At 36.0% G+C, this 15,163-nt stretch overlaps 1 long non-coding RNA gene across 1 annotated transcript in view, besides 1 other annotated feature; it reads right to left on the reverse strand.

The window, feature by feature from the left end:
- Window positions 1–15,163, reverse strand: part of LOC105375167 (uncharacterized) — a 67,988-nt gene that overhangs the window by 35,304 nt on the left and 17,521 nt on the right. The window lies entirely within an intron of this gene.
- Window positions 11,279–12,025: an enhancer, noted in NCBI's record as "OCT4-NANOG hESC enhancer chr7:15821381-15822127 (GRCh37/hg19 assembly coordinates)". NCBI's record gives its function as "activates a minimal SCP1, AML or CMV promoter by ChIP-STARR-seq in naive H9 embryonic stem cells {active_cell/tissue: H9 hESC(naive)}" and the evidence as "EXISTENCE:reporter gene assay evidence [ECO:0000049][PMID:30033119]".

Below are 15,163 nucleotides of genomic sequence, written 5' to 3' on the forward strand. Positions count from 1 at the left end.
AAGATGCTTCGTGAACACCTTATGGTAAACACACACAAAAAAATATGTATCAGCTATACAAAAGATAAAGAGAAAAAATCACAACATACAACTACAAAAGTCATGAAGTCATACAGGAAGACAAAAAGAGAGAAAGAAGAAAGAAAATAAAGGGAGAAAGAAGAAAGAAAACAAGAAAGAAAGAAAAAGAAAGGAAAGAAAGAAAGAAAAAGAAAGAAGGAAGGAAGGAAAAGAAACTTCAAAACATTCAGAAAAAAATAACAAAATGGCAATTGAAGGTACTCATCTGTGAAGAATTATTTTAAATGTAATGTTATTCTTCCTTTTTTAATTTTTTTTTTTTTTTTGAGATTGAATCTTCCTCTTGTCACCCAGGCTGGAGTACAGTGGTGTGATCTGGGCTCACTGCAACCTCCGCCTCCTGGGTTCAAACAATTCTCCTGCCTCAGCCTCCCGAGTAGCTGGGATTACATGTGCTGCCACCATGACCAGCTAATTTTTGTAGTTTTAGTAGAGAAGGGCTTTCACCATGTTGGCCAGGCTGGTCTTGAACTCCTGACCTCAAGTGATCTGCTTGTCTCAGCCTCCCAAAGTGCTGGGATTACAGGCGTGACCATGCCTGGCCTAAATTCTTCAATCAAAAGGCATAAAGTGGTTAAATTGATTATAAAGAAATTTTAAAAGACACAAATAAATGAAAGGATATCTCATATTTCTGGATTGGAAAGATTCTTATTGTTAAAATGTTCATACTACTCAAAGTGATCTAGACTTAATACAGTTGCCATCAAAATCCCAATGAAATTATTTTGCAGATATAGGAAAAACAATCCTACAATTCATGTGGAATCATAAAGCATCCATAATACCTAAAGAAACCTTGAGAAGAACAAATCTGGAGGCATCTGAATTCAAAATAAACTACAAAGCTACAGAAATAAAAATAGTATAGTATCGGCATTAAAGCAAGTACATAGACCAATGGAAAAGAATAGAGAGCCCAGAAATAAGCCCAAACTGAAAAAGTCAACTAATTTTTGTCAAGGGTATTAATAACACACAATGGGGGAAAAAAGTCTCTTCCATAAATAGTGTTAGAAAATCTGGATATCCATATGCAGAAGAATGAAATAAGACCCTTATCTCACACAATATTAAAAAAAATCAACTCAAAATGGTTTGAAGACTTAAAAGTAATGGCTGAAACTGTTCAAATTACTGGAAGAAAATGTAGGGAGAAAGCTTCATGACATTGGTCTGGGTAATTACTTTTTTGGATAAGACCCCAAAACCACAAGCAACAAAAGCAAAAAATAGACAAATGGGATTGCATCAACCAAAAAGCTCTGCACTACAAAGGATATAATCAACAGAGTAAACAGACAACCTAAAAGATGAGAGAAAAAATATTTGTAAACCACATGTCTGATAAGGAATGAATATCCAAAATATATAGTGAACTCAAACAACTCAATCGCAAAAAACCCTCCCCAATAGCTCGTTAAAAAATGAGTGAAGAACCTCAGTAGACATTTCTCAAGAGAAGATATCCAAATGGCCAACAGGTATATGAAGAAATGTTCAGCATCACTAAGCATCAGGGAAATGCAAATCCAAACCACAATGAGTTATCACCTTACACCTGGTAAAATGGCTACTACTATTTTTAAAAAGATAGCATATATTGGGGAGGATATGAAGACTAGGGAACCCTTGTACACTGCTGGTGGGAATGTGAATTGGCACAGTCACTATGGAAAGTATAGAAGTTCCTAAAAAATTTAAAAATAAAAGTACCATATAAGCTAGTCATTCCTCTTCTGGGTAAATATCCAAAGGAAATTAAATCAGCATCTCAAAAAGATGTTTGCACTCCATATTCATTACAGCATTATTCACAATAGCCAAAATATGGAATCAACTGGAGCTGATTAAATCTATTTGGAATTAATTTAAGACTGAAGATTTTAATATTATATATATATATATATATGTATATATATATACACACACACACAAAATCTGATATTACTGAGCCTTAAAAAAAGAAGGAAATCCTGCCATATGTGACAATATGGATGAACCTATAGAACATTATGCAATGTGAAATAAGCCAGTCACAAAAAAGAAAATACTTCATGATCTTACTTATAAGTTTAATCTAAAAAAGTTGAACTCATAAAAGCATAGGGTAGAATGCTGATTGTCAGGAGGAGGTGGGGAGAAAGGGCAATTGGGAGATGTTGGGCAAACAGTACAGAATTTCAGTTATGTGTCATGAATAAATTTTGGAAATCTAATATATAATATGTTGACTATAGTTAATAATACTGTACTGTGTACTTGAAATTTGCTAAGGGAGTAGATCTTAAATGTTCTTACCACAAAATCTATGGCAACTAGTGAAATGATGGATATGTTATTTTGCTCGATTGTAGAAATCATTTCACAATGTATGCACATATAAAAACATCACATTGTATACCTTAAATGTATACCATTTTTATTTGTCAATTGTATCTCCATAAAGCTGACAAACAAAGTCATTGAATGTGCAACACCAAGAATGAACCCTAATGTAAACTGAACTTTGGGTGTAATGATGAATCACAGTAAGCTCATCCTCTGTAACATATGTATCACTATGGCTGGGAATATTGATAATGAAGGAGGCTATGCATAAGGAGGGGCAGGAGGTATATGGGAAATCTCTGTATCTTTTGCTGTGAACCAAGAAGATGTTTTTGGTTTGTTTCAAGATTATGCTAGTATTGTAAAATGAACAGGAAAACTTTACATCTATTTACATCTATTTGTACTCTTTAAAACAGTGTATAAAAGATTAGAATAATCTATTTGAATAGAACTCATTCATAAAATTATCTTATCATAGAACTCATAAAATTATCTGATCTGGGTGTCTTTAATATATTGACTTTCAGCAGTCTTGTATTTCTTCAATGGCTGTTGGTATGTTGAAATTTTCTACCCTATTTCTTCTCTAATTACTGAGCCAATTACAAGGATGATTTAGATGACACTTAAGTATTCACAGATATCTATTTTGCATATATTTTCAAATATATTGGCATACAAACAGGGTATATTCATTTGCTAGGGTTGTCATAACAAAGTATCATAAATGAAATGGCTTAAATAACAAAAATTTATAAACTCCTAGTTCTGGAGTCTAGAAGTCCAAAATCAAGATGGTGGCAGGACTGATTTCTTCTGAAGGCTCTAAGGAAAGAGTCTATTGTAGGCCTCTTTCCTTGTATGTAGATTGCAATCTTCTCCATGTGTCTCTTCATATCATTTTCCTTTTACATGTGTCTGTTTCTGTCCTAATTTCCTCTTTTTGTATGGATACCAGCCATATTAGATTTAAGTCTAATCACCTCATTTTTACCTTGATTATCTCTGAAAAGAACCTATATCTCCAAATAAGGTCACATTAGATTAGGTACTGAGGTTTGGACATTAAAATATTAATTTTGGGGTACACAATTAAATCCATACCACATTTCATCATTTTTTAAAAATTTAATATCACTTAATATCTGTAATTATGCTTAACTTCTCATTTCTAATAGTACTTAGTGCTGCTTTTCTTTTATTTTATTTTGTTATTAGTCTTGCCACCATGTGTCTATTTAGTATTCTAGAAAATTGTGTTCTTATTTATTCCTTTCTTCTGCTTTATATGTTTTTTATTTTACTTTCTCAATATTGATAGAGGCAGGAGGCAAAGAAATTCTGGGGAGACAAGGGCAAGTCCCTGGCATAACCCTACCTTCGAGCTGAAAAGCCGGAAACCCACCGCCCAAAGTGAGAACTTCTATTTCTGTTTGCCCACTCTCTCCCAATTGGTTCTTTCTGAATAATGTCTTTTTACCAATCAAATGTTGCATTTTCCAAAACTACCTATGCCTACCCTGGCCCCCACCCTGTGCCTATAAAGACCCCAGACTCAGCCAGTAGGGAGAGAAACCTGGCTTGACTAGAGAGAGGTGACTTGACTTCAGAGGGATGGCTGGACTTCAGAGGAGAGCCTTCATTTGAAGAGCCAGCTAGAGCCAGCCAGACTTCAGGGAAAATTATCTGCCCATTCCCGTCCCCTCTCCAGCTTTTCTCTCCACTGAGAGCCATTTTCATCACTAAATAAAATTCTCCATCTCCACCATCCTTCAAGTGTCTGTGCAACCTCATTCTTCTTGGATGCTGGACAAGAGCTCAGAACTCACTGAGTGCATGTGCCCAGAAAAGGCTGTCACACTGGCCCTTTGCCCTCGCTGGTGGAGGGCAGCCGCCACATGTGAGGAGGCAAGGGGCCCACTGAGCAGATAACATAGCACTGTTCATGGATGGCAGAGCTAGAGAGCATTGTAACATGCCCTCTGGGGCTTCGGGTGTCACAGACCCCCCCACCTGGTCACCGCAGTAAAGCCCATACAAAGCCTGCTCCTACAGGTGCCCAAAGCAGTCAGCTGCATCCTGCACTCAATTGCTCATGTGCTGCCTCCTGCAAGAGGTTGAGTATGATGGACTGAGTAGATGGGGCACCCCTGTCGCAAGTCCAATGAAGGGGTCAAGAAAAACTCCTGCATCAATATGAAACTTGGATAACTCATTTTTACATTTGCTTTTGTTGTTGTTGTTGTTTTGAGAGTTTTTTGTCCTTTTTTTTTTTTTTTGAGACAGTCTTGCTCTGTTACCCAATCTGGGATGCAGTGGCAAGATCATGGCTCATTGCAGCCTCAACCTCCTGGGCTCAAGCTATCCTTCCACCTCAGCCCCATAGAGTAGCTAGAACTACAGGCATGCACCACCACATCCAGATAATTTTTTTATTTTTGCAGAGATGGTGTCTCAATATGTTGCCCTGGTTAGTCTCAAATTCCTGGGCTCAAGTAATCCTCCTGCCTTGGCCTCCTGAAGTTTTGGGATAACAGGTTGAGCCACCTTGCCTGGCCTACATTTTTGCGTTTTTTAATAAACTCATTCATAGGTAAACACATTTTGTTATGAGAATTATTTAAGTCACTTCCCAAAGATTTTAATACATAGTAGTCCATCTTTGGTCATTGCCAAAGAGTTTCTTATTTTTCTTTTGATTTCTTCTTTATCCCAATTTATAAAATAACATTTTAAGATTAATGAGTAGATAATTTGAGATTAAAGAAAAATAATGTAGGCTGCATGGTTCCTGACTTTAAAAATCTATGGAGATTTATTTGGTCTATGATTTAGTGCCTCACTAATTGGTGAATTCCTCACGTTTTCTAAAGCAGAGTTTTATTTTAAGAATACAGAGTGTGTATGTGTATGTGTGTATACATGTATATGTATTTGTAGAATGATGTTTGTCATTTGCTTTACATTTCCCCAGACATTTTTATTTGTTAAATCTCCTTGAATTTTTCAAAACTATATTAGGTTAATTCCTTGGACATCTTGGTGAGGTACATCTTTTATCAGAAATAATTTCCCTTTTTCCATTTAATAATTTCCCAATGAAATAAATGTATTTTTATTGCTCTGCCTACTTTCTTTTGTACTCACCTGCAAATTTACTTCTTATTTCAAAACTTTATAGTATCAGTAGGTAGATGTTGTGTAAGTATATATTCTTAGGATAATATTCAGAAAATTTGTGAATCTGAAATTTTTAATAGGTTTAATTTCACCAATGTAAGTTTTAACTATTTATATGTTTGCAAATATTTCTGTAATTGTATATTGTATTTCTTATTTACTGTGCTCTTGATAGATTTTAGTCCATTCTTCCTTTTGTTGTTTTATTTTTCCTTATTTTTTTTCAAGTTATTATGAGGGCTTCCATCTATATCTTGTGTGCTAATGAACATTATGCTTTTTATTCTGTAAATCTGCCCTTAAATTATTCTACCAAAGTCTAGGATTAAGCAATATCCTCTCCCTCAAACCAATTTTCTCTTTCTCAAAATTTTGCATATTTTTATTTCTCCACTTCTGCATTTCTCTTCACTTCCTCAGGTTCCATTAATCTGGATTTTATTTCCACGTGTTATTATATTTTACATTAGAAACTAACAGCTACATACAGTTAAAATTTAGTGTTTTTCCTTACCATATGTCTATTACCACTTTTAGCCTTGTTTATTGGACCTATTTTGAATTTTGCTAGAAATAATTCCCTAAAAAAATTTAACAACTTTTTTGTTCGTTTTTGGAATGTCTGTGTTTGGGAAAATTTATAAGTATTTATATGTTTTATGATGTCTTTATTTTGCCCTTTTCATTTATTGATGGTTTGACTAGATAGAAGACTAAGATTTAAACTCACAATCATATTTCCTGAATTTGTTAAATACTACTTTGTGTGCTCTAGCATCTGCTGCTGACAAGGAAGCTTTATTCTAATATAATTCTTGTTCTATTGTAGTAACTCATTTTTGTCTCTTTAGAAGATTTAACTTTACTCTTTATCCTCAGAGTTCTGCATTTTACTATGGCATTTCAATATGTAGTTCTTTCTTTATTCATTTGTCTTACGACTTTGTCGTATGTGTATTCATGTATGATGCCAATTTTTATTATGGAAATTTCCTTCTATGTTATGATGATTATGGGATTTTTTTTTCTGTATTTAGTGATTTATTATCCTGTGATCATTGTTGTATTTGAAAACACCTGTTCAAGTTTTATTAGAACTGTTTCTGATTATAGGAATTTGCATGGTTGATTATGGAAAATGAATATAATATACTTGGATGAGGTGTAACTGTAGTTTGTCTTCTGCATATGGAAGCTCAATCTCCTTTTAAAGAGTTGCCACCTACCTCGGACATTGTCCATATAACTTTGTTTCCTCTAACTTGGCCAATCTAAGACACAGGAGAGGGTCTAGTCAGCCAGTAATTCCTGCAAAGTTTACAATTAATCATCTCAGCAGATCCCAGGGGTATCAGGCTGCTCCTTACATTTAATTACTTTGCTTTATCTTCCTCTATAGATAGGCTGTCTTAAAGTATTTTATGCCACGTTATGCTGAAGTTTCTTGTCAATCTGATTATATCTGCTTTGTATCTTGCAGAAAGTCCTCTCTCATCTACAAGCGCAGGATGCTGTATTATGTGTATGACCTTTTCAGTCATGTCCTGCATAGTTGCTTCTGTTTGTGTCAGGTCAGGCAGGAATTAAAGGCATTTGTTTTCATTTTCCAATACTATTGAGAATAATTTTCAATTTTAAAATAGTTTTTCTTCTTTTTAAATAGATTTAATTGGGAATCAAGCCAGAAATATTTTATTAACATGACGTTTGGTGACCAATCTTTTTATTGTCTGTCACTGTGATCTGTTCATGTAATCAAAAATTCCATTTTTTTAAAAAGGATATAGTAAAATCTTGCTGTAACATAAAAATAAGACTATTACTATAAGAAATCATATAATATAAATTTCCATTTTTGTTTTTTTCTTGGTATGTCATGGCAGTTTACTGTTTCTGAGGAAATTTGGAGTATGTTGGCTCTAAGAAAATAATTATGTTCTTTTAGCTCTCTGTAAAAATTTAGAATTAAAATTATGACAGCTAATGATTCAAGAGAAGGCAAAAAAGAAAAGGAATTCATTCTTTCACTGTCTTTTACATAGAGCTATGACTTGTCAAACTGATGTCTGAAACAATGAGTTTAACATCAAATATTTATCTGGTTTAGGTACTAGAGATGGTTGGACTCTGACTACAATGTTTTAGGAAACATAAACATGGCTTTCTAGGTAATTAGGAAAAAAAAACTTACAGGAAATAAAAGTTGTGTCTTCGTAGCCCCTACACTTCCCATCACAGAAAAAAGCCTTTAGAATTGTTTCTTTTTACCTAAGCTAACTCCACACAATGAATGACTGAACTGAACTTCCTCCCAGGCACAGCCCATTATTCTGCACCACTTCACTCACTAACCAACCCAGCTGGAACTTTATCTAGTCACTTGCCAAAATCCCCCTCCTTCTTAAAGATGTTCTGACCCACCTCTGAGTTTTAATTTCCTCCCACTCTACCCTAGCGATGAGCTCTAACCTCTTCCTTCCAGCTGTCAAACCCACCTACTCCCTGGAGGTAAAATATCTGCAACAATCTTGCTTCTCTGCCAACCATTCACTAAGTTTAAAAATGAATTTTCATATTTCTCTCTCAAGTGTCAAAAAGTACATATCAAAATAAAAAATTATACTCACCTTTAAAACATATCACCAGTCTATCAGATATCTCAATCCAGATGTAAGAAATCATTTTACTTTATTCTTACAATTCCACCAGTGAACACACAAGTGCACACATGACATTAATGAAATACGGTATCTAAAAACCCATTTCTAAATATTAATTCATGAAAAGTAATTATACCATCTTGCTCCTCAGTTATTTGGAAGTGGAATTACTAGGTATTTCTCATACATATTTTTTAAATCCTCTTTTTATAATGTATTACATTACTGGCTGCTTATAGCAATCATAGAAGTATAGAATTTTAATAGAAGGGAACATAGAAATCATGTAATATAGCTTTTTATTCCCAGCATGGAACTTAAATGTATCTAATTTTAGGTGCTTACTATTTTGTGAGGAATTTTGTTTATTATTCATTTATTTATTCAATAAATACTTATTGAGAGTTTTATTATGCCCCAAACTTAATCTAGTGGCTGGGCATAAATCCAGGAATAAGATATGGTTCTGCACTTTCAAGGAAGTTACATTTTAGTGGGAAAATAACAAGCAATATTTATAAGTGATCAACATAATAAATTTTAAAGTAGTAAGTAATAAACATAATAATTAAGTCAATAATGAAATGTGATGAGGTAACCTGGAATTTTACTTACTTGTAAGTTAATAAATTAGACACCCTATAACCTGTTACTGTTTGATAGTTGCTGGCAGAAGACGTGAGACTCCTCAGCCAGGGACAAGGTTATCTTTTACTCACAGCACAGTGGGCAGATTATTAGCAATTTTGCTTAGGCATTATGCAAACTCCCCCATCACCCCACAGGAATTATGCAGATGGGATCAAATGGATTCTGTACATACAGTAAGGTTGTAGCACAACTGAAGAACCCTGACTATTGGAAAATCATGTTCTTAATCTTCCTTAACATTGTAATTTTTACCTGCATTTTTCTATCAGTTTCTAAAAGCAGATATCAAGAATCTACCAAAATAAATGTGCATAATTTATTTTTAAAATTGTGCAGAATTTAGAATTGCATATCTTCTTGTTGGATTGATAACTTCATCAGAAAATTGCTGTCTCTGTGTCTAGTAATATCTCCTACTTTAAAGTTGTTTTATCAGATATCAGTAGAGCCACACTAGTTTTATTTTGTTTAGAGTACACGTAGTACATGTCCAGTAATTTTACTTTTTTTTTTTTTTTTTGAGATGGATTTTCACTCTTGTTGCCCAGGCTGGAGTGCAATGGCACGATCTCGGCCCACTGCAACCTCCACCTCCCGGGTTCAAGTGATTCTCCTTCCTCAGCCTCCTAAGTAGCTGGGATTACAGGCACCTACCACAACGCCTGGCTAATTTTGTATTTTTTTAGTAGAGATGAGGTTTCACCATGTTGGTCAGGATGGTCTTGAACTCCTGACCTCCAGTGATCCACCTGCTTTGGCCTCCCAAAGTGCTGGGATTAGAGGAGTAAGCCACCATGCCTGGCCCAATAATTTTACTTTTAAACATTCAAGGACTGTATCTCAGACAGCATATAGTAGTTGACTTCAGTTGTTTTATACAGTCTGACAATGTTGAGTTTCAGCTGGAAGATTTAATTAATTTACAATTATTATTATTATTTTATTTGTGACAGAATCTTACTCTGTCGCCCAGGCTGAAGTGCAGTGGCACAATCTCAGCTCACTGCAGCCTCCGTTTCCTGCACTCCAGTGATCCTCCTGCCTCAGCTTCCTGAGTAGCTGGGACTACAGGAATGTGTCAACATGCCTGGCTAATTTTTGTGGGTTTGTTTTGTTTTGTTTTGTTTCTGTAGAGACAGGGTTTTGCCATGTTGCTCAGGCTGATCTCAAACTCCTGTGCTCATGCAATCCTCCCACCTCAGTCTCCTGAAGCACTGAGATTACAGACATGAACCACTGCCCCCAGCCTAGTTAATTTACATTTAAAGTTTTGTTGATATATTGGTATTTCAATCCAGCATTTTACTCTAGCTTTTAAATTTTACTAGTACTTTTGTTCTTTTCTCTCCTCTTTATTTCTCTTTAATCTATATATGTTCTTATTTTATTTCCCCTCTGTTTGTTATGCATTCCTCATTTTTGTGGTTACCCCAGAGATTGCCAGATTTACCATTTATTAAACTATATTTCAAATTAGCATGTTTGCCACATTCTCAGAAATACTAGCTTTATGTACTCTCTTGCCAACGCATATTTGTCTAAAAAAAATCTATGTATTTTGCCTTTGTTTGCAAAGATTACTTTTGCTTATAGACTGCTTGGTTGCTACTACTGTTTTAGCATTTTAAAGATGTCATTCTACTATCTTTTGTCAGCTGAACAGTGACTCTCAGTCTTACTACTGCACCTATGATAGTAATATGATTGTTTTATCTGTCTGCTTTGAAAAAGATCTCTTAGATCCTGGTTTTGAAAAGTTTTTCTAACCCATAATGAGATGTGACTTTTATTGCATTATTCTGTGTAGAGTTTCTATTACTTAGTGCCTCATTCTAATTATTGGAGTTTTCAGTTGTCAAATTTTCACTTGATTCTATTTTATAGATTTCTCTTGTATAATGAAATTCTCCATTTGTACCTATTTTTGAACATTTTAATCATATTTTAAAATTTACGTTTGATAAATTCATTATCTAAATTACCTGTGTTACTGTTTCTATTTTTTGTTTTTGTTTTCGTTGTTGTCGTTGTTGTCCTGGTTTTCAATAATTTGGTTCTATTTTCTAACATGCCTGGTAATTTTTTTGTTGCATGCTAAACATTCTATATAAAAATGTGTGGACTCTTTATGTGTCAGAGACTTAATTTTTTTCTGGCAATGAATTATAATATGCGTGAGTTAGGTTATTTCAATTAAAATTTGAAATAATTTTAGTTTACATTTCAATGTCATTGAGCCATCTGGATTATTTCTGGTATGTTCTTAAATGTAGGAAAGATCTTTTTGCAGGGCCTCAATTTATACGTGTTCTTTCTTCTTCATAAACACTAAATTCTATTTTTTCTAGCTCTAACATTGTGGGACAGATAAAATGTATGTTTCACTTTTTAGCTCCTTATTGTAACCATCTGAGGAGTTCTACCTCCCACAAAGAAAAACAACAACATTGCAGTAAATAAAAGCATTTAATAGACATGAAGCCAGCCATGTCACCTCAAATCAGTCTCCTTGAAGGCATGTAGTTAGCGGTTTTACAAAGGGCACTTGCTGCTGATAGGTAGGATGGAGACAAAATCATAAGTTGTTCTCTTGAGTATAGTTGTTTCTGGGTGGGGCCACGGCAATGGGAGTCAGCAAGTACAGATGGAGTCACTGTGTCCACATACCACCATGAGTGTCAAACATGCAAAAAAGTTGTGTATCTAATGACTAGTCTACACATTAGCTCCTCTCCCTAGCTTGATGGCCTTCCATTAGCTTTAGAAAGGCAGTTGACTTTTGGCGAATGGCTATTATCATTTAAACTGTAACCTAAAAGCCTCTCAAAGTCAGCTTGGCCTGAAAGCCCAGGAATAATTAAGGAGAAGGTGAGATAAGGAAAGGGTTAAATCAGAATCCTTTCACTGCCATAATTTTCTCACAGATACAATTTTTGCAAAGGTGGTTTCATTATCAGCTAATCTCTATTTTTTAAAAAAATATTTTAAATATGGCCCATACAAGAGTAGTTTAGGAGTTAGGAAATCCCTCAAGGGGAAATTGAACACAGAATGTTAGGTCCATTTCTCTGTGATTTTCTTTATTATCTGGGACGTCAGCCCCTCAAATCTTGGCTGGCTCCATGGTCTTAAATTGCAATATTTTACCTCCCAAACACAGATTGATCACAAAAATCTTTAACCTTATTTTTCTGGTAACCTCTACGCTCAGTGCTTTGAATTATCAAATGTTGCAATGTGTAATTGCAGTGACAAATGTATGCCTTATTTTGACGCATCTTCTTCTCTCCTAGGTTTCATTGGTTGCTCTCTAATCCCTTCAACTGGCTGTTTCTGTTTTTGTGTTTTGCATTTTATTCAGCTTTTTTACAGTAGTTGAACTAATCAGCAACATGAGTATGATACATATTTCTGGTTACTTTGACATAACTAGAAGCAGAAGTCTGTGAAATATCTTTTGTATATTATAATTTAGAAGTTGGATTACAGGTTTATGAGTCAGATTATTGTGCTTTGAAAACAAATTTACTGCTTTTCCGATGCCTGAATATAAGCAAAGTAGTTACTCACTCTAGGCCTTAGTTCCTTATATGTAAAATAGAAATAACAGAGTTCCAAAATTACAGAATTGTTGTGAGAAGGTATTATAAGGGTTTTATGTGTAATGTGCTATGCATAGAGTTTGGCACTTCTGAAGCACAAAGAAAAGTTACAAATATGAATATCAGTAATGTTCTACTCTAAAGATACTCACCCAACAGAGAATAGAGACATTGCCCTATTTTTAACATGAGCCTTGCCAATGCTTAGCAATTAAAATTATTCTAAATAATCAAAAAATTTTAATAATCTGCACAAGAATTTAGTCAGTACTTTTTGTCAAACTTACAAAACTGTATGCTTTAATTATTCCTTTTAAAATATGGCATTTTTCTATCCACTGTCCTCTATCACCTCAATTGTTCTGCAAAATTTCTCTAATACTACCTGAAATAATATACTATATCTGCTTCCTTCCACTCAGTTTGGCATGCAGTTTTATACTGTTGTCTATTTATGTTTTTATTTTCCCTCCAACAAAATTCTGTATGCCTAGTGAAAGCCATAATTTTTGTTATTGCTGATAATTTTCCTATGAGCAGAGTGCTGAGTACATAGTTTCTATTCAATGTTTATTTGTTGACTTTAATAGGGGCATGAATTTAAAAAAATAAATAAGAAAAAGATTCTCACTCTAGTTTAAAAAGTTGAAAAGATACATAGGGATTCACACCTCTTAAAATTGTGCTTTAAAGAAAATATTTTATGACTGTTTCCATGGATCACCAGAAGATGTAAAATATTAAGTCTAGTAAAATACATGATTTACTTCATATATTTTAAAAGGCAAAATACTTTTAAATTACATATTTATTAATTTTTAAAACCAATTATGGCATATAACAGAAAACATTAGCTTGAGCTGTACTTAAAGTTTTTAGGCTCTTCAGTAAGAGAGGTAACTCAAGGAGTTAAAAAAAAAAAAAAAGTGAGCTTAGGGAGGAGAGGAGCAAGAAGGCTGAATAGAAGGCTCCACTGGTTGTTCCCCTGGCAAGGACACCAATTTAACAGCTAGCTACACAACAAAAGCACCTTCATAAGAAGCAAAAAACAGTGAGCACTCATAGTACTTGCTTTAACTTTATATTACTGAGTCTTGAATAGCTGGCACTACTTCTTCCCCATCCCCCAGCAGTGGCCATGTAGTACAGAGAGTGTTTCTGTACCCTTGGGGGAGGGAGAGTGCAGCAATTGTGAGACACTTCATTGAATTTATCCTCCTGTCACAGAAGAAAGCAAAACCAGGCTGAACGCAGCTGACACACATATTTAAAACAGCCCTAGCCAGAGGGGAATCACCCTGCAAGCAGTTAAAATTTGAGTTTCAGCAAGCCTGACCACCACAAGCTAAAGTGTTCTGGGGCTCTAAATAATCTTAAAAGGCTGTCTAGGCCACAAGGACTGCAACTTGTAGGTGAGTCTTACTGCTCAGAGCCAGTGAACTTGGGAGGCTTGTGACCCTACTGAGACACCAGCCAGAGTGGCTAAGGGAGTGCTTGCACCACACCTTCCTCAACCCTAGGTGTCACAGCTCACAGCTCCAAAAATGACCCCTTCCTTCTGCTTGGGAGAAGAGAGGGAAGAATAAAGAGGACTTTCTCTTCCTTCTTAGATACCAGCTCAGCCACAATAGGATAGGGAACCAGTAGGAGTTCCCCTTTCCAGGCCCCCTTAGCTCCCAGATGACATTTCTAGACACAGCTTGAGCCAGAAGGGAACCCACTGCCTTGAAGGGAAGAACTCAGTCCTGGCAGGACCTATCACATGATGACTACAGAGCCCTTAGGTCCTAAATACTCAGCAGCAATACCCAGGTAGTAGTACGCCATGGGCCTTGGGTGAGCCTCTGAGGCTTGCTGACTTCAGGTGAGATTCAGCACATTCCCACCTGGGGTAGCTATGGAGCGAGACTAATTCTGCTTGAAAAAAGCATGGGAAAAAGTAAAGGGGACTTTGTCTTGCACCTTAGGTACTAGCTTAGCTATAGGAGGATAGCACATCAAACAGGCTCCTGGGGTTCACGATTCCAGGACTTCCCTCTTGGACAGCATTTCTGGACCTCTCCTGAGACAGAGGGCATCCCCACTTCACTGAGAGTGAGTCTGAGGCCACACAGTATTCAACTCAAGCTGCCTAAAGAGCCCTTGAAACATAAGGGAACATCGGTGGTACCCTGGAAGTAGTCTCCATGGACCTGTGATGGTGGTGGCCATGGAATCCTTTTCTGCCTGTGGAAAAGGGAGGGAAGTCTGAGAAGAGCTGTGACTCATGATTTGAGTGCCAGCTCAGCTGCAGTAAAAGAGAACTCTAGGTAGACTTCTAAGGTTTTTGACTCCAGTCCCGAGCTCCCAGATGGCACCTCTGGACCCATCTGGGGCCAGAGGGAACTTGCCACCCTAAAGGGAAGGACACTAGCCTGGCTGGCTTCACCCCCTGCTGATTGTAGAGCCCCAGGGCCTTGAGAGAACATAGGAGCTAGCCAAATAGTGGTTACAGTGGGCCTTGGGTGAGAGTCAGTGCTGTGCTGGCTTCAGGTCTGACCCAGCACAGTCCCAGTGATGGTGGCCACAGGGGTACTTGTATCACTCCACCCTTATCTCCAGGTGGCTCAGAACAGAGAGAGAGAGAATCCATTTGTTTGGGAGAAAGTAAGGGAA

This window comes from Homo sapiens, chromosome 7 (assembly GCF_000001405.40).
Source record: "Homo sapiens chromosome 7, GRCh38.p14 Primary Assembly".
NCBI classification, from domain to species: Eukaryota; Metazoa; Chordata; class Mammalia; order Primates; family Hominidae; genus Homo; species Homo sapiens.